The sequence below is a fragment of the Homo sapiens genome, chromosome 16 (assembly GCF_000001405.40).
Source record: "Homo sapiens chromosome 16, GRCh38.p14 Primary Assembly".
In the NCBI taxonomy this organism is placed as follows: domain Eukaryota; kingdom Metazoa; phylum Chordata; class Mammalia; order Primates; family Hominidae; genus Homo; species Homo sapiens.
In genome coordinates, this window is record NC_000016.10 from 12659600 (window position 1) to 12685759 (window position 26160).

The window sequence follows — 26160 nt, forward strand, 5'->3', positions numbered from 1 at the left end:
GAGCTTGCATTCTGGTGGGTGGGTGTGGTGGGTTACACTTCGAGATAATTAAGCAAGGATATTTCTCAGCGATGCGCTATGAAAAAAACAAGCAAGGGAACAAGAATGCAATACTGGGACAAGGAGTGTAACCTTAGATAGGGTGGAGCAGTGTATTAGTCCACTTTCACACTGCTATAAAGAACTGCCTGAGACTGGGTAATTTACAAAGAAAAGAGATTTAATAGACTCACAGTTCCGCATGGCTGGGGAGGCCTCAGGAAACTTACAATCCTGGTGGAAGGGGAAGCAGGCATGTCTTACATGGCAACAGGAAAGAAAGAGTGTGAAGGAGCTATCAAACACAAAACCATCAGTGTCATGAGAACTCACTATCACAAGAATAGCATGGGAGAAACTGCCTCCATGATCCAATTACCTCCCACCAGGTCCGTCCCTTGACACATGGGGATTATGGGGATTACAATTCGAGATGAGATTTCAGTGGGGACACAGAGCCAAACCAATTTGGGTGGAGACACAGAGCCAAACCATATCAAGCAGGAAGGCCACTTTCAGGGGTGAGCGTTTGAGTGGATGTTGAAATGATGACAAGAAGCCAGTTTCTAGAGAGGCACAGTGGCTCACTCATTCTAAGTGTGCTGCAAAGCCCCTTTAGTGAAGAAATCTACTTCTCAAACATAATGGTCAGAATAATGAAGGGTAACATGATTATTCACATTTAATCGACTTCATTTACATAGATAAAGCCTAAAGGAAAAATCCAATCTGTATTTATGTGCATGCACTGATGTTTAAAAATCCACTGGAGGAAAAGGAAAATTTAGTCAGCAAAATCTTTTCTAGATAAATGCTAGAAATCATTATTCCAAGAAAAGAATCCTCCACTTTTACTATATGTGTGTGTGTGTGTGTGTGTGTGTGTGTGTGTGTGTACTCATTAAAAAATACATAAGAGCTCCTCCATGGCTTGAGAATATTTTATGAAGTTATAAAAATCAGTATTACCTGTCAAGTACTATGTTACATGTGCAATCAAAACTGTTGAGGTTACCTGAATAAAAAAAATCCCTGATGTCTATTACAGAAAGCTTTTAACAGAACTTGCCTTGGCAATTTACTCCTAAATCTTCTTTTTCCTCCAGCTCAATATAATATTGCTACCTAATATTGTGACTGCACAAAACCATTTTAGGTACCACTTGGGAATAAGTATTAAGAGTTCAAGTAAGGCTGGGTACAGTGGCCAACGCCTGTAATCCCAACACTTTGGGAGGCCAAGGTGGAAGGACTGCTTGGGGCCAGGAGTTCAAGACCAGCCTGGGTAACAGAGCAAGACCTTCAACTCCACAAATATAAAAATAAAAAATTAGATGTGGTGACACGAGCCTATAGTCCCAGCTAATTTGGGAGGCTGAGGTGGGAAGGTTGGTTGAGCCCAAGAGTTCAAGGCTGCAGTGAGCTGTGATCACACCACTGCACTCCAGCCTGGGTGATAGAGCAAGATTCTGTCTAAAAAAGGGTTCAAGTAAATGCAAATGATGTTTTGGCAACCTTTTCTCAAAAGATTCTGCATTGGAATACAGACTGTAATATTAAACTACTATGTGTATATTGTTTCTACAGTTGTATACACCGTAGTGTCTTTTACAGGTATATAAGGTCAATGGCCCTAGTCTAATTCAGATTTAAACTAGTGCTTGCCTTGTAACTCTGCAAGTGATCAATAATCTCTTAATACTGAAAATCACAAAATAGGATAAAACGTTCTGTTGCTAGTCCCATAAAGCTTACTACATTTTTTCCCCATTCTCCCCAAACTTAGGAGAAACTTGACTAAAGATGTGAGATAAAATTATTTATTGTAAAAAGTAAATGATCATCTCCCCAGCCCCATTCCCAAAGTCACTTGAGCCTTTGCAATCCAATTTGAGATCACTTTAAAAAACCTTCCCCCGTAACATGTCCTTGTGTTTTTGTTTTTTCCTCCAATTAAAGTGATTAATTGGAAAGGGGAGCATTAGGTGACATTCCTTGCCTTGAGACAGCTGGTGGTTTCCTACACCCTGTGGTGGTAACTCCAGACATGGAGCAGCTAGAGCTGCGGACAGTTACTGCTGCAGACAGGGCTGTGTCCCGTGACTCATTATGGTTCAGTTCGGTTTCTAAATCTCCCCCAGTAAAAATCCTCCCCCTGGAACCATCTGCTCTTTGGACAAGCTTCTGCCCCCTGAACCTGGTGCAATCAGGGTCTGGTCTAGGCTTTGCAGAGCTGGGAGGAAATCCCTGGGCCTCCAGCTAACGCTGTCCAAGGTGCTGAATACCGTACTCAGTGTGTTGCCACTGGCTGAGCTGGTGCAACCTTTCACCTCTGAGAAACGTTTTCCAAGACAGGACAGTGTTATGGAGCATGGACTCAAGCCTTGGGCCATCTACATCCGTTCTTTCTCCACCAAGATGAGTTAGGCGACCTTGGCCACGTGACCCCCACCTTTCTGAGCCAAAGCACTTAAAACACATAATAAACATTCAAAACCATAGCACTTAGAATCAGGAAGTCCTTTTATCGTTTTTCACAGTATAAGGCACTTATTTTTTGATATCATTCTCTTTTTTTAAAGGCAAAGGAATTACAAGTGAACACACTAGTCATGGCCCATCAGAATGATAGATGCTTATCTACAAAAACATTTCCTGACTTCTTGCTGAACCTCTTGCCTCTGGGAAATACTGCTGTTTGCTTACTTAAAAAGTGGTGAGAAATTAATATGATTCTCTCTTCCCTTTTAAAAAATTAAATTTGTATAAATATAAGGCGTACAAGTGCAGTTTTGTTACACGGATATATTGCGAAGTGGTGAAGTCCAGGCTTTTCCTGCAACCAACACCAGAAAAGTGTACACTGTACCCATCAGGTACTTTCTCATCCCTTACCCTCCTCCCACCCTTCTGAGTCTCCAATGTTTGTTCCACACTCTATGTTCATGGGTACACTTTATGTAGCTCCCATTTATGAGTGAGAACATGAAGTATTCGACTTTCTACTTCTAAGTTATTTCACTTAAGATAACAGCCTCCAGTTCCATCCAGGTTGCTGCAAAAGACATGGTTTCATTCTTTTTAGTGGCTGAATAGTATTCCATTATGTATACATACCACATGTTCTTTATCCAATCATCTGTTGATGTGATTCCCTTTTCTTTGCATATTCTTGGGGTACTTTTGAATCAGTTCTTTTAAGTTTTTGGGGAAGGAGATTTGGTTTCATTTTCATTACTTTCAATTATCTCCATTATCCTTCTGCAAACCCATGTGCCACAATTCAGAGCATTGTGCATACGTAAGAACAGAGTGAGAGCTCCTTTTCATTTCCCCCTGGAGGAACCCCCATCCTGGAATCGAAGCCCTCTGTTTATGATCCAAGTGTCACCACATCTCAAGTCTCAATGTGTGTGTGTGTGGTTTTTTTTTTTTTTTTTTGAGACAGAGTCTTGCTCTGTTGCCCAGGCTGGAGTGCAGTGGCATGATCTTGGCTCACTGCAACCTCTGCCTCCTGAGTTCCAGCGATCTCCTGCCTCAGCCTCCCGAGTAGCTGGGATTACAGGTGTGCACCAGCATGCCTGGCTAATTTTTGTATTTTTAGTAGAGATGGAGTTTCACCATGTTGGCCAGGCTGTTCTCAAACTCCTGATCTCAGGTGATCTGCCCGTCTCAGCCTCCCAAAGTGCTGGGATTACAGGCGTAAGCCACTGTGCCTGGCCCAATGTGTGGTTGTTATTAGCTATGCCCTTTACCGAACTCCTTTTCTTGACCTCCTATACCTACACCTGTTGTAAAGAAACAAATACAAAACAGGATTTCAGCAAAACACTAAAAGAAGAGCGTTCTAGTTTTTTAAAAAATTTAATTTTCTTGTGGCACATAACAATGAACTCTGGTGTCACCAGCCTATTGTATAATTAACTTCTCGTCTTTTGTTCCTTATGAATTTACATATTTAATTATCTTTCCATTTAATTTCCCATGGTTTTGCTACGTTGACTAAACTCTGTAATGAGAAAGTCTTTTAATTTAATAGACTTTGCAGGTCATGTGTAACCAGCTTTGGAAATCATTTTAGGATTACTGAGTGCTGTTTCATAATGCTGTATATTTTTCCTGCCAGGATTTGGAGTACCTAGGTTATTTGTCCACCAGAACAATGGCTGTAAAGGAGAAAATTGAGCAGTGGTCAGAAGCTGCTGAGAAGATGCGGTAAAACAGGTTACATAAAAAACAATGCTGGTTTGAAATAACCTATGCGCTTTTGTCAAGGGATTTTGCATTAGTGCATTTAGTCCAAGTCAGGGCCAATTCAGAGGATGTGGCTGAAGGCACCGTTTTGGCCTTTTTTGTTTCTTTTGAGAGCTCTGCATACATTCCCACTTTTCCTGTCAAAGTGGACAAAATGAAGAGTCTCATGAGTGGAGGGGCATTCTGATCCCAAGAGACCACCCATCTGTGGAGTGGCTACACAGCCAGAATGTGGATGTGAACCAACTCAACGTGCTCCCCAGAGACTGAAGAAGCGGCGTTTTAGAGCTTTGGTTTCAGTCTCTTGGAGGAGATTTTCAGAAATGGCCAATTTATGTGCAAAGGTGACTTTTCTAGGCACCCAGGAAGGCAAATTTAAGCTCCGAGCTGTATCAACTGCATTCTGTTCCTATCATCAGAAGTCTCAGAATTGAACAGTAAATGGTGCCTACTTGGCTCCTTGTCAAAATAAGTCTGCATGGCTCTCACAACAAGGGAGACAGCTGTTCGTTCCGCTGGAAAGGAAAGGAGATGAACTTTGTTTTGCCTAGCGTTTTGGGAATCGTGACCACAATTTAATACAATCAGGTGTAGTTTGTTTAAGGAATTATCAAAGATCATACTTGGCTGTCAGATTGGAATTGAGGTCGATAGGCAGACTTTGACCATATGCTAACCAGAATACAATCCAATTCAAAAGTGGAGTTGAGAAACACAGCATTAGGAGAATTTATTCAAACATCCATGCAGAGATAGTCTAATATTTTAAAAACTGATTTCCAGGATCATTCGCTCCATTTTAAAGGAAATGCAGTTCTATTTTGAATATAATTCAGGACAGGGCCCCAGCTCTCTGATTTATGCAAAAGGACATAAATTCACAAACCTGCCTGGGCTATTTTTATATTTCAGCAAGAGGTTGTGTGCAGCTGCTGTTTCTGGCAAAATAAAAAAATAGTGCAAGTGAAAAGTGAACGGGAACGGGAAGGAGCGTCATTTTTTCTTGATCAAATCCATGAGATCGTCTTCTATTCCTTTCTCACTCAGCTCATCTAGACTGTAGTATCGGTGAACAATTTTCTCGGCGGTGACCACCACGACTCGGAGCCCGTGGGGGTCTCTGCCCAGCTGGCATCCAATGGCAGATGACACCACCATGTCGAGGTTCTGGTAGGTACCCCCGGCATTCCTGTGGTAGTGGCCTGAGAACACGACTTTGACACCTGCAGAGAAGGGAAAAAGTCATTAGGGGGCCGAGGACTTCCATTAGGTAACCTAGGGTCTCCAGCATTTTATTCTGTGAACAGTAATATATTAAATATATTATTATACCATCATGTAGAATTATCATATTAAATGTATAATATTATTCTGTATATAATCAACAAATAGAAAGCGTATGTGATGTCCAGAATCTTTGAAAGGATACTTCATATATATAATATATTATTAACATGTTTGTCATAACTTGTACAAAGACGTACTAGGGAAGAAAATGAGAGAAGGAAGATGAAGTGAATGACTTTGAGAAAAGACAAAGGAGACTGAAGAAAACAGCCTGAGTCCTATAGAAATATCCAGATGACAAAAGTTATGTATTTTAAAAATAACATTTATGGCCAGGGATGGTGGCTCATGCCTGTAATCCCAGCACTTTGGGAGGCCAAGATGGGTGGATCACTTGAGGTCAGGAGTTCGAGACCAGCCTGGCCAACATGATGAAACTCTGTCTCTACCAAAAATATAAAAAAAAATGACCAGGTGTGGTGGCTCACGCCTGTAATCACAGCACTTTGGGAGGCCAAGGTGGGTGGATCACAAGGTCAGGAGTTTGAGACCAGCGTGGCCAATATGGTGAAATCTCATACTAAAAAATACAAAAATTGGCTAGGCGTGGTGGCAGGTGCCTGCAGTCCCAGCTACCTGGGAGGCTGAGACAGGAGAATCACGTGAACTCGGGAGGTGGAGGTTGCAGTGAGCCAAGATCATGCCACTGCACTCTAGCCTAGGCAACAGAGCGAGACTCTGTCTCAAAAATAAACACATAAACCAACAAATAAATAAATATAAAAAAATTAGGAGGGCCTGGTGGCGGGCATCTGTAATCCCAGCTACTCGGGAGGCTGAGGCAGGTTATCGCTTGAACCCAAGAGGCAGAGGTTGCAGTGAGCCTACATCGTGCCACCGCACTCCAGCCTGGGCGACAAGAGCAAGACTCCATCTCAAAATAAATAAATAAAAATAATGTTTATGGCATTCTAATTAAGGTAGCAGAGCATGTCTGACATATGATCAACCCCCTCTGCTCCAAACAGCCGTAGTGGATGAAACGTAAAACAGAAAACCCAAGGTCACAGGTAGGCTCAAAAACAAAACAAATAGCTCTACAGGCCAGACACAAAACAGAGAGGCAAAGTCATGAGTGGGAGTAAAATGTCACCGGGAGTTCAGCTCTTAGAAGATCATAGAGACTGAAAGCATTTTCAGGGGAAAATGGGGAAAATAAAGCCTGGCTCCCTGCTGGAAGAAGGGCTGTTGTGGGTGCCTCCGTTTACGGAAGGAGGCTGAAGAACGCTGCTGCTGCCTGGGGCTGGGGAAGTGGTAGGCTGGTAAATGTTTCACATGTTATTATTTTTTTTAAAGACCTGATTTGTCACATTTGTCAATTTCCATGGTGTAAATACTTCCACTGTGGCCGTGGCTGATTTCAAGTTGCCAAGGTGATGTCACTGAACCAGATGTAGAAGAGATGCCCAGTAGTGCCCATTACATATACATCAGATCTGTTTCTACCATAGAGATACAAGAGCTGCCAACAGCCTCAAGAGCATGGATGACAGCAATATTTAGCAAAAGAATTACAAAGTGATCAGTTTTGAGTATTTATTACCTTTGCTTTTTAATATAATCTATTTAATACTGAGTTTATATAATTATTAATAATGGCCACTTAACAACCAGCTCACAACATTCCTTAAAATGTAATGATTGGTCCTAATGAGTTAGTAGGAGCTGTCACCAGTACACCACTAGGCTAAGGCTTACTGCAACCTGAGAGTCTAGGAAGGAAGGAGAGACACAGGTTCAAGTCTAGGAACTGAAATGACTTCCCCGATATTACCATGGGGCCCTAAACCACTATTATAAGGCCTGGTCCTGAACGGGGGTGGGGGTGGAGGTAATGAAAACCACTAGAGAGAGAGAAGTTAGTCAAGAGAGAAAGAATGAGGGAAAAACAAAAAACAAAAAAAACACCCCTTACTCACATTGACCCTGAAATGAAAAATTCTGCTGCCCATGGAGAAATCACGTGGTAAAATAGTCTACAAACCCTTCAATTGGGAACACAAATTCACTCCAGATGAAATTAATTATTTAAGATTGTCTGACAAATATTTCAAATCAATGTGTTTAAGATATCAAAGGGTCCTTAATAAAGGACTAACACCCATAAAAAGATGTTATGAAACAACATAGGCATAAATTGAATGAGAACAGGAGGTAATGAACATTTAGAGATGGTGGACACAAAACATCCATTAAAATTTAAAATAAAAACAACCCTCAATAAATGAGATAGGCCAGGCATGGTGGCTCATGCCTGTAATCCCTGTACTTTGAGAGGCTGAGGTGCAAGAATTGCTTGATGCCAGGAGTATGAGATCAGCCTGGGCAATGTAGCAAGACCCCATCTCTATAAAAAATAGTAAAATAAATGAGATCAATTCTAGACATCAATCAAAGAGGAAATTAGTGAACTGAGAGGTAAAACTGAGGAAATGATCCAGAAGACAATACAGAGACCCAGACACAAGCAATAGGAACATGCTCTTGATTTGAGTTCTCTGAATTCAAAAATTCAAAGGATAGATTAAGATCAGCAGAAGTTTAGAGGAGCTGGTGGAGGAGAAAGGAGAAAATAATAGTGAGAAGAATTTGAAGAAATAACAGAAATTTTCCAGAAAGAAGGAAGACACAGGTCCTCAGATAAAAAGTACTACACAGGAAACATGACAGTTAATTCCTACTGACATATGGTGCAATAAAATTGTGGTACAGCAAAGACAAAGAGAAAAACCATAGAAAGAACCGCAGTAAAAACATTATAAAGAAATGATAATCACACAGATAGCAGGAATCTTAACAATAACAGAATCAAAGAGTAATGCCTTCTAAATGCTGACAGCAAATAACTATGAACCTCAAATTTTATTCCTAGCTAAACTATCATTTAAGTTTGAGGGCAAAAAAAAGACATGTTTGGAACATAAAAACTAAAAGTTTACCACGTCTAAATCTTCACTGAATGAATTGCTTCAGCAAAAGAAAGGATGAAATATTAAAAAATAATGATGACCAAACGCCAATATTTTGGTAAACTGAATTAACTATTGATTTTTTTAAACCTATTTTTTAATGTTAAAAGTGAAACTAAACATCAAAAATGTCAAGATAAGGAGTTTGGTGGAAACTTAAAGCATATATAAGTTATTGCCATGTTTGGAAGGGAGATAAAAATACGGAATAACCTGATACTTTGCAAGAAAAAAATGTATAGTTACCTTATTTCTTTAAAATGTTTGGGCATAGCAGTCAAACTAAACTTCATCAAAATTACCAACTTTTGTGCTCCCAAAACATTATAAAAAGTGAAAAGACAACCCATGGAATGGGCAAAAATATTTGCAAATCATGTATCTAATAAGGGTCTAATACCCAGAAAACATAAAGAGCTTTTACAACTCAACCAAAAGACAACCCAATTAACAAGCGGGAAAGGATTTTAACAGACATTTCTTCAAAGGAGATACACAAATGGCCGATAATTACATGAAAAGATGCTCAACATCATTTATCTTTAGGGAAATGCGATTAGCGACAATGAGATAACCACTTCATAGCCACTCGGATGGCTGTGATGAAAGAGATGGAAAGCAACAAGTGTTTACAGGGATTTGGAGAAATTAGAACCTTCATACAGTGCTGGTGGGAAAGTAAAATGGTACAGTTCTTTTGGAAAACATTTTGGCAATTCCTCAAATGTTAAACACGTATTTACCATAATTGTGATATTTCACTCCTAAGTATGTATCTAGGAGAAATGAAAACATTTGCCCATGCAAAAACTTGTAGGTGAGTGTTCCTAGCAGCATTTTTCAAAAGAGCCTAAAATACGGAAGCAACCTAAATGTCCATCAGTTGATGATGGATAAACAAAATGTGGTCTACCCATACAATGGGATGTTATTCAACCACGAAAAGGAATAAAGTGTTGATACAAGCTGCAATGTAGATGCACCTTAAAAATATTAAGCTAAGTGAGATAAGCCACTTGCAAAAGGCCCCATCTTGTATGCTTCCATTTATATAAAATGTCCAGAATAGCTAAATCCATAGAGAAAGTAGATCAGTGGTTGCTAGGGGCTGAGGGAAGGGTGGAACGGGAGAGTGACTGCTGACAGGTGCAGGGTTTCTTTGTGGAATGGTAAAAATGGTCTGCAATTAGATCACGGTGATACTTGCACAACCTTGTGAATATATTAAAACGACTAAATTTGATACTTCAAAAGAGTGCATTTTATGGTATGTGAATTATAGCTCAATAAAAATGCAAAAAATTTACAGGAAGAGGAGGAAGCTAAAATGATCCATATCACAACAACGGATTAGAGTTGGAGATATCAGTGGTAATTCATGTTTAGCTTAATATTGCTGTGGTTTCACATAGAAATATTTATAGATGTGTATATACATAGGCCAGTACATAGACATTCGTTTCCTTGCTCTGTCAGCTGAGAGCCCCTAGAAGTATGTACTAGCAATGAGAGCACCTAGCACTCAGATCTGGCTTCCTAGTAAGGATTCTCTAATAAAAGGAACTATGGCTCCTTGGAGAAATGGCTACCATAGCATTGAGCAAGAAATACAGAAGATGAACCTGGAACATCTTGTGTTGCCAGAAAGGATAGTGGTGCTCAGAAACAAAAACCCTGCAACGATGGGGTATGGCAAATGGACTCAGGAATCAAGTGACAGGATTCCCAATGGCCAAAGCTTAACAATCTGAGTAGTGAAATAAACTAGTGTTGAATTACAACCCACAGTATAAAAAAATCCACGAGGCGGCCAGGCACATTGACTCATGCCTGCAATCCCAGCACTTTGGGAGGCCAAGGTGAGAGGATCGCTTGAGGCCAGGAGTTCGACCAGCCTGGGCAACACAGTGAGATCCCGTCTCTACAAAACATTACAAAATTAGCAGGTGTGGTGGCTCATGCCTGTGGTCCTAGATCTCAGGAGGCTGAGGTGGGAGGATTGCTTGAGCCTGGAAGTTTGAAGCTACAGTGAGCTATGACCGCACCATTGCATTCCAGTTTGGGTGACAGAGAGACCTTGTCTCTAAAAACAAACAAATAAAAACTTTGCAAGACCATAATAATAAACTACTGAATAAATAAATAAATGGTAGGGGGAGAAACATCTCCTACACACAGAAGAGTAACAAATAAATGACACAGACACCCCACCCTCTAGGAAGTAGTGCATCTTTCTTCATCCCTTAGGTGTGGGCTGTGCATCCTGACTTCTGTTCAAAGAGTATAGTTTAAAGAGAAGGTTAAAAAAAAAAAGAATGTATTTACAGTGAAGAAACTGGACAAACACCAAAAGCGATAAGTCACATGATTAGTATGTGCTCTTGATATGAATGTGATAGAAATGGCACTTCACCTCTGTGGTCTTCCTCTCCCAAATCCATCACCCCAGTCTAATCCAGAGAAAAACATCAGACACATTCCCAAGAGAGACACATTGTATCAAATACCTGACCAGCACTCCTCAAAACTGTCATCAAAAACAAGGAATGAGTGAGAAACTATCACAGCCAAGAGGAACCGAAGCACATACGATGACTAAATGTAAATGATCCATGTGTTTTTATTTTTTTAATTATTTATTTATTTTTAATATATTTTTTGAGGTGGAGTCTCACTGTGACGCCCATGCTGAAGTACAGTGGTGCGATCTCGGCTCACTGCAAACTCCGCCTCCCGGGTTCAAGTGATTCTCCTGCCTCAGCCTCCTGAGTAGCTGGGATTACAGGTGCCTGCCACCATGCCCAGCTCACTTTTGTATTTTTAGTAGAGATTGGGTTTCACCATGTTGGCCAGGCTGGTCTCAAACTCTTGACCTCAAGTGATCCACCTGCCTTGGCCTCCCGAAGTGCTGGGATTACAGGTGTGAGCCATCGCGTCTGGCTGTATTTTTAAAAGTATACTTATCCCCTGTACCATTTTCCCCATTCATTAACATATTATATCAGAATAATACATTTGTTACAATTAATGAACCAATATTGACATATTAAGATTAATTAAAGCCCATGATTAGATTCCCTTAGTTTTTTCCTAATGTCCTTTTTCTGTTCCAGGATCTGAATGATTTTTACTAGTTCCACACTGGGGAACAGGAAGGAAACAGAGATTGAGAATGGTGGTAAAGAGGGGTAAGGGAAAGAAAATGAGGAGACAAGAGAGCAAGGGGAGAGAAAAAAAAAGGGCATGAAGGGAATATGCTGATAGCCTCTGCTTCTGGTGAGTGGGGTTCTGGGAGGCTGTAAAGAGAGCTCTTGGGACTATAGCTACCTGTGCTGGCAGGAACTGGAGATTCACCTGTGGGCAGGTGTGGATCAGCTCAGGTGCATAAAGTACTCAGCCTTCCCTACTTAAGACAGCCACAGGTGGAGAGAAACAGCTACAGTCACGTGCAGCACATGGACATTTTGGTCAATGATGAACGCCATATATGAAGGTGGTCCCATAAGATTATAATGCTGTATTTTCACTGTACCTTCTCTATGTCTAGATACACAAATCCCTACCATGGACGTTTTAGTCAATGATGGACGCCATATATGAAGGTGGTCCCATAAGATTATAATGCTGTATTTTCACTGTACCTTCTCTATGTCTAGATACACAAATCCCTACCATGGACGTTTTAGTCAGTGATGGACGCCATATATGAAGGGGGTCCCGTAAGATTATAATGCTGTATTTTCACTGTACCTTCCCTAGGTCTAGATATACAAATCCTTACCATTGTGTTATGGTTGCCTGCAGTATCCAGTACAGTACCATGCTGCATGGTTTGCAGTCTAGGAGCCATGGGCTATAGCACACAGCCTAGGTGTGCAGTAGACTACACCATCTAGGTTTGTGTAAGGACACTGTGATGTCTGCAACACTACAAAATTGTGTAACAATGCATGACTGCAATTCCATTGACTTCTTATTAGAATTTGAACAGAAAGAACTCATGTTAAGGGGGCAATCTAGCAATACTGTCGCACATTTTACTGTACATTCCCTTGGCCCAAAAAAACCATTTTGGTAGACAGTTATCCTTCAGAAATCCCCAGGGAAAAGCCCAAAGATGTATCCGGGCTGTACCTGTGGACATTAATATATGGTTCAATGTGCATCACAGTACCGTTAGTAATGTTTATTTATGGAAGACCTGTTAAATGACATTATGCGCATTTTTTAAAAAGAGGTAATTTACATGTACTGGCACCAAAAGGTGCCAAATACCATTAATATGTATAGCACACTGCTGCAAAAACATCGTGTGATCCTGTGTAAAATAACGTATGCCTTAGAAGGTTTGTGTGCATATACAGGCTCGTGTGCCTATTTGTGTATATGTATACCTCAGAGGGTATGTGTGCATAGACATTAAACTGCTTATAGTGGTGGCTCCAGGTGAGGGGTGTGGGGTGGGATTAGTGAGAGGCACATCATTCTCTCTTATTACAGTAGTGTAATGCTTCCAATGATCACGAATTAATCGGGTGATTGGGAATGAAATCCCAGCACTTTTGGAGGCCGAGGTGGGCAGATCAGTTGAGGTCAGGAGTTCGAGAACAGCCTGGCCAAGATGGCAAAACCCCATCTCTACTAAAAATACAAAAACTAGCCAGGCGTGGTGGCAGGCGCCTGTAATCCTAGCTACTTGGGAGGCTGAGGCATAAGAATCGCTTGAACTCGGGAGGCGGAGGTTGCAGTGAGCTGAGATTGTGCCACTGCACTCCAGCCTGGGTGAGAGCAAGACCCTGTCTCAAAAGAAAAGAAAAAAGAAAAGAGAAAAAAAAAGAAAAAGAAACATTAGGGCAACATGAACAGGGCAGGGTGGCGTGACAGATGCAGCCACTGCCACTCCAGGGCACAAACTGTGCAGTTCTCAGGTTGCAGCTGGGACTGCTGGGTTGGGCGCCTGATGGGTCCTTGCCATAAATAGACAACTGAAAGGCTCCAATCGTACAGACTGCAGGGGCGGTGGAAATGACTGCCTCCTCTGTGGCTCTCCTGGGGTTTCACAGCCAGTCTGTAGCTCAAATGGGACCGCGTAAGATCAGCCCTGCCTGGGGGAACGCTGAACGGCTGGACAGAAAGCACTTAGCATTATTATTTCTTTGCATGCTAAATTATGTTTATGAGATTTGGCTCTTCATGCCTAACTCATAGTTGCAAACTGTACTATTCTGGAAAGAATGTCTGGCAATTTTGAAAGAAGCTTGCATTAGCCATAATTAGCTGTAAAAACTCATTTATGTTTAAGTTTCACACCATATTGAGTGGCATTAACAGAGAGGGGAGCATTTAATGGTGATTGTTCAAGTGCCCAGAGGACCTCTCAGAGCGGGTCTCCCCAGACCCGTGGACAGCTGTTCCTCTCTGTAATATGCATGTCCTCTCCATCTGCCCCTCAGGGCTCACCAATTATTGTTAACGTCCGAAGTCACAGAAAATGTGACCAAACGAGGATTCTTAAGAGTAGCAAAGATGCTGCAAGAGGACTAGCAATAAAGATGAGGCCGGGTGCGGTGGCTCCCACTTGTAATCCCAGCATTTTGGGAGGCCGAGGTTAGAGGATCGCTTGGGGCCAGGAGTTGGAGACCAGCCTCGGCAACATCATAAGACCCTGTCTCTACAAAAAAATTTATCAAATCAGCCAGGCATGGAGGTGCATGCCTGTAGTTCCAGCTACTCGGGAGGCTGAGAAGGGAGGATTGCTTGAGCTCAGGAGTTGGAGGTTGCAGTGGGCTATGGTTGCACCACTGCACTCCAGCTTGGGCAACAGAGCAAGACCCTGTCTCAAAATAATAATAATAAAAAATAACGATGAGAGAAACTACTAGTGAGCAAAGCAGTTGTGTTCAAAACCTTCTCCTTCTGGTAAAAGAGAGTCCTCCCCCAATTCCAATGAGGAACTTGGCCTTCTGAGGTCCTGCATGAAAAAAATGAAGCAATGACTATGTGATGAGTTTACAAAGAGACGGTCAGGCAGGGGACGAAAGTCTGTCTCAGAAGCAGGAAGATGTGACTAACTCCGTCCTCCTGGGTTCTGATGCTGAGTTCAAGGCTCTGGCATGTTCCTGGCTGGCTCAAGGAGTCTGAAACGAGGAATGAGATGTTGAGCTGGAAAATGGGGGAAACACTTCTTGGGTTGGAGCCAGGTCCAGAAGAAGCCTGGTGAGTTTCCAGACGTGGGGGTTTCTGAGTCTATTTCTCAGCTCCAGGGAGGCCCGGAAGTTCTGAACCCGAAATATTTCTCCTAGTTCCACCTCCAGTAAGGGCAACCGCTCCAGGTGGAGTGAAAGGAGGCGGGGCCTGGAAGGGGGTGGCACAGTGGCGGGGCACTCTGTATCCTTCATCCTGTTTTACTGAATCCTCCCAATGCACCTCTGTCCTAGGGACTCACATCGTCTCCATTTTACAGATGAGAAAACTGAGGCCCAGAGAAGTTAAGAAACAAACACAAAGCCACACAGCTAGACAACAGGGCATCCAGGATCAGAACTCAGGGTACTCAGACATCAGAGCCCATTCTGCTTTGGGACCTTGGACCCATTACTGACCTCTGTGAGTTGGCATTTCCTCTTTTGTACCATGAATTAAAATGACAGCCCATATCATGGGTGGCAGAGGTCTGGGGGGGAGCATGGGTGTCAGTACCAAGCTCCTCATCGCCCCACCCAGGAGGCTTTCTCCAGGGCAGGGCCAGCTTCTCACTGCTGGAGGGGGGCACACAGCATGGCAGTCCAGCTCTGCAACACGCAGCCTCTCTCCGAGTTATAATCCTGTCCCTTTCATGCCGACAGGCCACAAGGACCTATAAGAAGTTTTACCCATCTCAGCTTTCTATTAGCTTTTGATAGGGAAGCACTGATTCACAACTCGATGGAGGTAAGGAATGTATTAATAAATCTTGGTTTCCCTGACGGGGTATTGATTTTAGTGATGTTTTCAAGAGCTGGGCAGAATTTCCACTCAGCCTGGGCATCAGTCATCTGTGGCTGACATGCCTCTATGGTTCCTTAATTGAGTATTATGTATAGATTGTTTTTGAATTATGAACTGCTGTAAGGAGATGACAGGCATCTTTTTAAATTACTGCCAGAAGAATTTCCAGCAAAGGCAGCCACTGCATCAACAGAGGATGATTTCTGTGGCATTAGCTTCATATGTTTTTTTTCTCCACGGTATCAAGTCATGAAGACGCTATAAAAGCTATTTTTAAGCTATCTTGATTCAAGTTCATTTCAAATCAATCAGAGGATTGGGACACAGTCACTGTATAATGTAATATTCTAACATTGGAAACCTGCTTCAAATCAATCAGGAAATTGAGATGCAACCCAGTACAATTCTGATACTAAACACTGGCCTTCTTTAATGCCTTGGTGTTGGGGCTTAGACCTGGAAAGTGTAAACACATTCCAACTGGACAGCCTTTACTTTTATCCTGCATGAGACTATATTTGTGAAAATGTGATCCAGCTTTACGTTGCCAGCTATAACAGTGAAAACTGCATTGCAAACCATCACTCACACTGAATTTATTCTGCCTCAGTGGTAGGGAAAAATGTGACACAAATAAAAAAGAGGGAGAGAAATGGAAAGTTAAAAAAGGTTGGGTGTGAATGTACAGAAAGTAGGTATAAATAATCCCTCCTGCCGGTAAAGAATTTCCTTAGCAGGCTTTGAGATAAGAGATTCTGGCCAGGGGGCAAAGGGGAAGCGACAGATGTTTCTTAAGTGGGTTTGGGAGGTGCAGATTGAATATGAAGTCATGGTTAAGCCCCACCTGACTCATTCAGGAAGAGGTTCTTCACTTTTCGTCGTCAATTGGGGAATTCTAGATTCCAGCATATTTGCTCACTCTCATCAGAATTTCCCTGGTATATATCTTCCCCAGTGACCCAATGCCTGTGGCCCAGGACTGCCAGGGGACATGGTGGAAGGGATCCGGGTAAGGTGGGAGGCTGCTTCTTCAGTTAGCTTGAGACAATAAACATCTGTTGAGCTCCCTCTTGGTGCCAGGTATTAAGGAGTGTGGTGGGATCAACCATTCCCAGCAATCAACAACTCAAGGTCTATAGCCAGGCAGTCAGAGAAAGAGCTACTCATAACAAAATGCAGAAATCGACATCACTCAGCAGCGTTTTATTCGCTGGACATCTACGACCTGCATTTTGCACCTGCATCATCTCACTCAAGCCTAATGAGGACGCTGACCAGGAAGATATCATCCCCTTTTGCAGATGAGGGAATGAGGCGAGGACAGGTTAAGTGACTTGCCTGGATTCACATAGCTAAGATGTATACTTGGATAAGGCCAATTCAGAAGCACAGGCTCTGTCCACCATCTGAGAGGTGCAAAGTGCCAAAGATCACCGTGCCATAGGCCCTGTAAGAAGGCTTCCTGGAGGGGGTGGCTCTGACCTAAACACATCCTTAATTTCTCCTAGTTCTCTGCTCATGTCTGACCTGAGGCCTGAGGGGGCATCATATTATGGTGGTAATAATAATAATGATGATAATAATATTTATGGAGTGTTCATTATCTGTCTAGACATTGTTCTAGGCACTTCACTTGTTTTTAGCTCATTTAATTCCCACAATTCCTCCATGAAGGAGGCATGGTTATTACCTGTGATTTTATTATACGATTTAGAGATGTTCAGTAGTTTGCCTAACTCAGCCTGTAAGTGTTGAAGCAGGATCTGAACCCAGGAGTCTGTCCCCAGAGTCAGCACTAAAACACCTGCCAAGTAGAGGTAAAGACACATCAGGTGAGGGGAATATCACGAGCGAGTGAAGAGAGTCAAGTGTGTCTAGGAAGCAGCAGGCACCAAACGTAAAGGCTCCTGCAGACTGGCACCTGCTGGGCATCCGAATTTCCTCTTCAGCATTTTTAATCCTTCTGACACCCAACATCAAGAAACTCCTGCACATTTCCCAGAGGACACGACTGAAGGTCAGCTGGTGGGTGGTACCAGAATTCCAGTTCAGATTCTGGCTTGGCTAGAGGATAGGCGAGGGCGGGGAAAGGCGGGGCCAGAGGGCTGCATGGGGCTATAGACTGGCTGAAATGGAATGACTTACAAAAAATTCCAAGGTTGGCTGGGCGCGGTGGCTTATGCCTGTAATCCCAGCACTTTGGGAGGCCGAGGCGTGCAGATCACTTGAGGCTAGGAGTTTGAGACCAGCCTGGCCAACATGGCAAAACCCTGTCTCTACTAAAAATACAGAAATGTGGATGTGGATGTGGTGGTGGGCGTCAGTAATCCCAGCTACTTGGGAGGCTGAGGCACGAGAATCACTTGAACCTGGGAGGCAGAGGCTGCAGTGAGCTGAGCTCGTGCCACTGCACTCCAGTTTGGTGGCAGAGCGAGACTCTGTCTCAAAAAAAGAAAAAAGGAAGTGCCACGGTCGTGTATGTGTCTTCCTTCTTGTGGTAAGCATCAAAGCATCCCATCACTTCCGGCTTCAGCCTTTCATTGATTCAAACCCTCTCATCCCCAAATCCTGTTAACTAGCATGGCATCTTAAAGACATTTTCATGGAACTTCTTTTGAGGATCACTTGGAACTTAATTGACCTGGGTCAGCAAACATTTTCCAGAAAGGTCTGGACAGTAAATATTTTCGCCTTTGTGGGCCATGTGGTCTCTGTCACGACTACTCAACTCCGCCTTCCTTTGTAGCGTGAAAACAGCCATAGAAAGTATATAAGCTTGTGGGCATGGCTGTGATCCAATAAAACTTTATTTACAAAAATAGGAGGAAGGCCACCCTCACTAATAAAGCATACCATTAAAAAGAATACACTTGGGTAAAGTTCAGCCAAGAGTTCTTGATTCTTCAAAAGTCTGAAAGTTTCTGTGCTTCTCAAAAATAAAAATCAAAAAACAGTGACAACAAAGGAAAGAGTAATTTGTAGTTTCATTTATAAAACCATGAATGCCATTTCAAATAAGGGAGGCAAGTGAATTGTGTTAGTGAACACAAAAAAGGTCAACTATTCTATAAGTAAGAGCATCTGTCCTGACGGTCAGAAAGAGACTTCTATATCTACTTTAAAAGTGTCCACATCCTTCCATCTAAAAAAGTAACTCAGATCTAATTCAACTGTTTTGGCCATTATAGGTACCTTGCATTTCCACGGAAATTTTACAATCAGTATGCTGATTTCTACAAATAATAAAACTGCTATAATTTTGATTGGGATTTTGTTGAATCTGTCGCTCAATCGGGGGGGAAATGCCGTATTAACATTGGCCCTGCAATCCATGAACATGGTCTACTTTTCCATTTACTCAGGTCTTTTAAAATTACTTTCAGCAATGTTTTGTAAAGGTAGAGGTCTTGGACATCCTTTGCTATTCCTAGGTATTTCATGTTTTATGGTGCTATTGTAAATTGAATTATTTTTGTAATTTCACTTAACAATTGCTTGCTGATAGTATATAAAAATACAATTATTTTTGTCTATTAACCTTGTATCCTGAGACCTTGCTAAATTCATTTATTCATTCTAGTAATTATTTTGTAGATTCCTGGGATTTTCTAAGTTAAAAAAAATCGTATCATCTGCAAATAGGCCATTTTACTTCCTATCTTTATGTTTCTTATTTCTTTCTCTTGCTTTTTGCAATAGTTAGGATCTCCAATACAATGTTAAAAAGTATTGGTGAAAATACTCTTTTTCTTGTTGGTTATAAATTTAGTTTTCATATTCCTATTTTTTAGACTTTTGATATGACTGCTAAATTATTCTTCAGAAAAACATAATCAATTTAAATACCCAACAAGGATTTGAGAGTTTGATCAGTGAAAGCTCATTCTTTGGTGATCTCACAAAAGCCTTGCAAAGATTAAAAGGGAAACTCCTCAGGAGGACCTAAAGTAAATATTTGTTTATCCAGAACTTCTGAGTAACTGCTATCCTCCCCATTCGTTTTTCATGCTGGATAATCCCTTTCATCTTCCTCTGAACAAAGCAGGTTCACGGACTTACTATGGTTGGACGTGTGTGTAAAGAGTAGGTGGATATTCTTTTTACTATTCCTTTTCTTGCATCTTTTCTGTAAGCTTGAAAATATTTCCAAATAAAATGTAAAACAAAAACAAAAACAAAAACAATGCATACTTGTTAAATTAAACCCAAATGTTGTAAAAATACAGAATATCAAACAAAAGAAAGTGGGAGGAGGGAAATTTCTTGAAATCCCTATTCCTGTTTTAGGAGTTTAGTGTGTATTTTCCAGATAATTTAAATGTGTATACTACTATATATGTTAGATATAGATCTAAAGAAACATATATACATACACAAAATTTCACAAAAATGGAATAGGCTACATACAGATTTGCAACTTGCTTTTATATATTCGACAATGTATCTTTTACTTATTCCATTCAGGATATGCTGCCCTATTTTAGAGCTACTCACTAACATCCTGAAAACTGTATTTCTGATGTTGGGGCTCAGAAATGGTACCCCAAAACATGGCACTTTGACACGCTAAACTAAAGCAGCAGCCTCAAGGTCTCTCTGACCTTCCCTCCCCAAGAGCAGTGACAGACTGTCTCTGGAATTTCCTTATCTGACTAAGGAGATGTCTTTCTAAAAGAAATGCAATTATCTTAAGAATCCCTCCCTAGGAATCTCATCAAATAACCGAGAAAGATTAGCCAATGGAAAAGAGAAGAGACTAAAAGTCATCACCATGCCCAGACAGACTTTTCTTCCATTCTTCTGAGAGTAGCTCCAAGAGATTACCTGGGAGACTTTATCTACATAATAAGACAACCTTTGTTCACAATGCAGTTCTGCCTCTTACCTTCCCATAACTTACTGGTCCCATTCAGTTTCCTAAAAAAATCATTTAGAAGGTAATGTCTGCTTCCTAGGCCCATTCAATTCCCCTAAAAATCATTTATGACTGCTCAAAATTGCCTGCATTTCTCCCATCTCCCTCTCCCCTATGAATAGGGTATATAAGCTTCAACCATTTGCCCCGAGTCTTATATATTGTATGGCTCTCAAGTTCAGCACATTAATAAATCTGTATGCATTTTTTCCTGTTCACCTGTTTATTGTCAGTTCATTTCGACAGTGAACCTTCAGAAGGTGGAACAAAAGCTTTCCCTCTGCCCCCACACTGCTATGTAAAATCTAGGTTGCCGGATGATCAATCTGTATCTTAATAATAAAAATACTGTAAACTGGGAGGTCAGGAGAGTTCAGAGCCTTTCAGCCCTCTAAGGACTACTCACATGCATGGGGACACACATAGTTACTACAGCTTCTCAGAGAGCATCCAGATTCAGGGGGCAGAGACAGCCCCCAGGGAAGAAGGAGTCTTGTCTGCACAGCCCCTCTGATCTGGGTCTTGGGGGAGAAGCCCAACTACTCCTGCTTGCTGTATCATCAGCATGAGAAGAGAGACACTCTCAGGTTACGGAGTGCCTAAGCCAAGCAGCTCTGCCCCTGTGAGACCTGGGGTGGGCTGTAGGGGCAATATCTCCTTCTGGAGCTAAGCCTCTCAAAGGTTTCACTGTGATGGGTCCACGTGCTCCTGGGCTGAACCCTGCTGGAAACCTGGGTTCAAGCCTCATCTCCTCTGATGCATGTGACATTAACACCTATACACTTGGTCATTTCAGGCATTTGTTCACATGTCTGGTCCATGTGATATAAAGCATCTGGTTTATCTTAGGATTCATAGCCTCCTCTTGAGATTCTCTTCCTCTTTCTTTCTTTTTAATGTTTTGCTTGGGTAGGAAGCAATGGCCCAGTTGTCAAAATGACCTTTACCTAAAGCCAGCTCATACTCTAAAACCTGAAGAGATTTCTTTGCTTTAAGGATTCCTCCCCCGACCCCCGTTTCCCCCCGTAAAGAATAGCCATGCGTTATTATTTCAATGTGCCCCCCAACGTTTAAGTGTTATAAACTTAATCCCCAGGGTAACAGCGTTGGGAGATGGACCTTTAAGAGATGATTAGGTCACGGGGGCTCTGCCCTCAAGAATGCATTAATGCTGTTATCAGAGAAGTGGCTTCCTGATTTTAAAACAAGGATGAATTTGGCCAGGCCCCTTTCCTCCTCACTCTTGCCAGGGATGCCCCAACAAGAAGGCCCTCACCAGATACAGCCCCTTGACCTTGGACTTCCCAACCCCCAGAACTGTAAAAAATCAATCTCTGTTCTTTATAAATTACCCAGGCTCAGGTATTCTGTTATAGCAGCACAAAACGAACTAAGACACCATGTAAATTACACTTTTCATACCTCACCTGATTAACGATTCACAAAAATTATATTCTTCCCTTTTCAAAGCTCCTCTTAATTAAAACTAAGAATGTGGGAGATGGGGATGGCACAGAAGTGGCCTAGAAAACACCTAGGGCTGTGCATTCTCGGCTTCATTAGGATGTAAGTAGTTCTGCAGCAAAAGGTTTGAGAAAGAGTGGATGGAAGAGGTTCAGTGGTCACAGTTATCACACCAACACCTGGAGGCAGCTGAGGGGGGCCCACATTCCCGTTCATAAAATGACGTTTCCCACTTCCACCCACCGCATCTGCATCCGACTTAGAATCAGAAAGGACATGGGGATGTGCTCTCACACTCCAGGGCAAAGAGCAGAATTGGGAAATAATTACTCTCCAGGGGCTAGAGGTGGCTGGCTGCCCACTTGAGTCCACAGCCTTGAGAGTGTGATTACAGCATAGCATCACTTCCCTATCCTGGACTCGAGGATTAGTTATGCTCCTCCAACCCCCAGACTCACTGCCGTTTATTACTTTTTTGAGACAGTGTCTCTCTCGGTCGCCTATGTTGGAGTGCAGTGGCGCGATCTTGGCTCACTGCAACTTGCGTATCCTGGGTTCAAGCAGTTCTCCCTGCCTCAGCCTCCCGAGTAGCTGAGATTACAGGTTCCCGCTACCATGCCCAGCTAATTTTTGTGTCTTTAGTAGAGACAGGATTTTACGATGTTGGCCAGGCTGATCTCAAACTCCTGAACTCAGGTGATCGACCCACTTTGGTCTCCCAAAAGTGCTGAGATTACAGACACGAGCCACCGCGCCCAGCCCCTTTATTACTTTTCTACATGGGGGGCTATGCTCAACTTTTTATTTTTTCCCCTTCCTGATGACTTACAGATTCAAAACCTGTAGAATATGCAAGAGGAGGGCTGTATTTTTTTAATACTAATATTTGGTTGTCAGAAAAGCAGTGGCAGCCTGGGGTGGGAGCTAGGGGTTGGGAGACTCAGGCGTGAACCTCAGTTCTGCTGTTGCTGAGCTGTGTAGGTGTGGCATGGGCAGCAACATATCTGAACTCCTCATTTGGAAGGCAAGACTAGTATCAACCATCCCCAGGGCCACTGGGAAGATAAGTGAGAATCAGGGACACGCCCTGGGTGGCACAGCAGGAAGCTGCGTGTCTTGTACTCAGGCAGCACTCAATAATTATACTTTCCTCTCATCCTTCTCTAAGTATCTGATCAGAAGATCTTTTTCTTTTCATTTGCACAAATTACATCTTTCTCACTATTCATAATTTCCTCTTTATTTTTAAAAGAAGATGGCAGCTTGCGTGTGAAATGGAGCGTGGGGCCCACATTAAGGTTTCAATCCAGAATGGACAATTTTCTAGATTTCCATGCTCTATCTTAAACACAGCTGTCAGGACAAGAGGCTCATTAAAAAGATTGTTTTGACTGACAGAATGTTCGTGTATCAAATTGGAAATCCATCCAAAAATACTCGAGGGAGGTAGACAGACGTGGCGGCCAGCCACGGAAGGAAAATGTTTTGCAGAATTTGTTCAAGATGAAATTTGCTAGGGAGAAAGTGCCCTGCCTCTGACTTGAGCCAGGGAAAGCCAAGAAGGGGGTACTGCATCCATCAAAACGTAAGGACCTTGGGTAAGTGAGATTCCGTTTGAATAACTGGGCCAAGAAAAATTCTGATCAGGCGATGATCCCTTAAAGAACACACATTAACTAAATTTGTGCACTTTTCCTTACCCCTGGGCTTCGAGGCACTTCCTCCTCCAGTTAACAGCTTATTCTTCCTGCATACATCTCCGGCTTCCACAAGCCCTTTCAATGGTGGCCTTCCCCAGGCTCTGTCCATTCCCCTTCTCTCGTCCCTTTCCCTCTCACTGATGACCACCGGTTCTGTTATAACCTGAACCAACTCCACCTGCCAAAAATTCAGAATCATTTCCCAGCCAACAATCGGTTCCTAGGCTTCGTGGACCTCTCTTCTGGACATCCTTGCAAGCTCTGCAAACTCAACCCGCTTACTTCTTTTGCCCCAATGCACACCCCTCCTCGTGTGGGTTTAACTGGAGCACCATGCAGTCATCCAACCCAGGCATGTGGGAGTCACCCCGAGACTCCCTTCCTCCGCCTGGTCCATGCGTCCTGTTGACCTGTCTGCCTGAACACGCTTACCCCCATCTCCTCTCCATCCTCAGTGTGATCTTCCTGGTTGCCTGATCTCCTGTATGATATTCAGCTGTCAGTGGCTATGGTGGCTTAAAAAAGTAAAGGCTGTATTTGTGCTTAACTATGATTTATCTACCCCGTAAAAAGAGGAGGTGAGCAGTCCAGGGAGGGCGCAGCCTCTCCAGGATTTCAATAAGGATCCAGCCTCCTTCCATCTTTCTGTTTTGCCTTCCTCAGTTTGTAGCTTCCATCCTCAAGATCGCAAGATGGCTGCAGGGCTTCCGGGCACTGGGTCCAAGTTCCAAGGCGGAAGAAGAGGTAAGGGCCAACGAAAAGCCTTTCTGGAAGCCCCACTTGCTAAACCCCTGAACCTAGGTCATGCAGCCACACACAGCTGCATGGGGGTCTGGAGACGGAGTGTTTCAGCCTGCCATGCTAGTGCCCTGAACAAAACCTGCTCTGTTAGGAAGGAACGCAGAGAAAATGCATCCCGGTAAACTGAGCAGAGCCATCTTTCTCAAATGCAAAACCTGGGCACAGTGGCTCATGCCTGTAATCCCAGCACTTTGGGAGGCTGAGGTTGGAGGATCACCTAAGCCCAGGAGTTTGGGACCAGCCTGGGCAACAAAATGAGACCCCATCTCTACAATTTCTTTTTTAAAGCAAAACCACTTGGGCCACTTCGTCAAGTAAAATTTGAGGGTTCTCCATCACCTTAGGATCCTGATCAAACACAATGTCTCCATTTGAGCCTACTCCACTCACTGAGCAACTCCAGTGCCAGTGCCAGTACAGGACGAGCTATTTTGTGGCTCCAGCCTCTGCCCATGTTGTGCCCTCTTTCTGCCCAGGTCTGCCTGATGTGCACTTATTCATCCTTCAAGACCCTGCTCATTCGTTTCCTCCAATGGGAAAACATCCCTGGTGAAGGTGCACAGGGCTGCTTCTTCTTCATCCTCTCCCTTGCAAATTCTTTTACTTTTGCCCTGATTTCTGGCTCCCACCTTGGTTTCCCCTACTGGTCTATGAGCTCCTTAAGGGCAGAGGCCACGTGTGTTTAACTGAATACTCATCCCCAGGATGAATAGCAGAGAGCGGCCGCTCTGTGACTGCTGGATAAATGAATGAATGGAGAGATGGATGGATGGATGCACAGTGAATGAATAAATGAAACTTGTGGCAACTCAGAAGCTATACTTTAGTAGGTATCCTGGAGGAGAAACCCAAATCTCCCCTTCGTTGATATTATCAAAGGGAAGGGAGAGTTCCCGTATTTCCTGATTTTACAAAAGAACTGCCATGTTCCTTACAGAAGGAGGCCTTACTCACGACAGGGTGGAAACTGGAGACAGTGGAACGAGCACCGACTCTGGATCCTGTCTGTTACTTAAATGTCAAATGACAAGCGACTGCACCTCGCTGTACATTGTTTCTTCAATTTTAAAAAGGGGACAATAATAGATCCCTCAGCCAGGTGCGGCGGCTCACGCCTGCAATCCCAGCACTTTGGGAGGCTGAGTGGACAGATCACCTGAGGTCAGGAGTTTGAGACCAGCCTGGCCAACATGGTGAAACCCCATCTCTACCAAAAATACAAAAATTAGCCAGGTGTGGTGGTGGCCACCTGTAATCCCAGCTACTCAGGAGGCTGAGGCAAGAGAATTGCTTGAACCCAGGAGGCGGAGGTTGCAGTGAGCCGAGATCATGCCACTGCACTCCAGCCTGGGTGACAGAGCGAGATTTCATCTCAAAAAATAAATAAATGAATAAAATGATAATAATAGCAATAATAATAGCCTCACGAGGCTGTTAGGAGTTTCAGACGTAATGCGTTTAAACCCCTGGCACACTGTCTACTGCATGCCGGGGACCTGATGCTTCTTGGGACCGTGTTTGAAACATAGTGTGGACAAGGACATTTTTCTTCCTTGCCTTTGGAGACAGTGCTGGTTGCCTCTCACTATCCACACCCTCCCTTTTCCTCCTGATTTTGTTCTGGGCAATGTCCTCCTCAGGGAGGCCACCAGCTTCATTCCCCAAACCAGGATGGATGCAGCTG

At 42.9% G+C, this 26160-nt stretch overlaps 1 protein-coding gene across 2 annotated transcripts in view; it reads right to left on the reverse strand.

Moving 5' to 3' along the window:
- Positions 1-199: 199 nt before the first annotated feature.
- Positions 200-26160, reverse strand: part of CPPED1 (calcineurin like phosphoesterase domain containing 1) — a 144089-nt gene continuing 118128 nt past the window's right edge. For both annotated transcript variants that reach the window (NM_001099455.2, NM_018340.3), the window contains one exon: positions 200-5516. In NM_001099455.2, coding sequence (NP_001092925.1) covers positions 5287-5516 — 230 coding nt within the window. In that variant the 3' untranslated portion in view covers positions 200-5286. The remainder of the gene's footprint in view (positions 5517-26160) is intronic.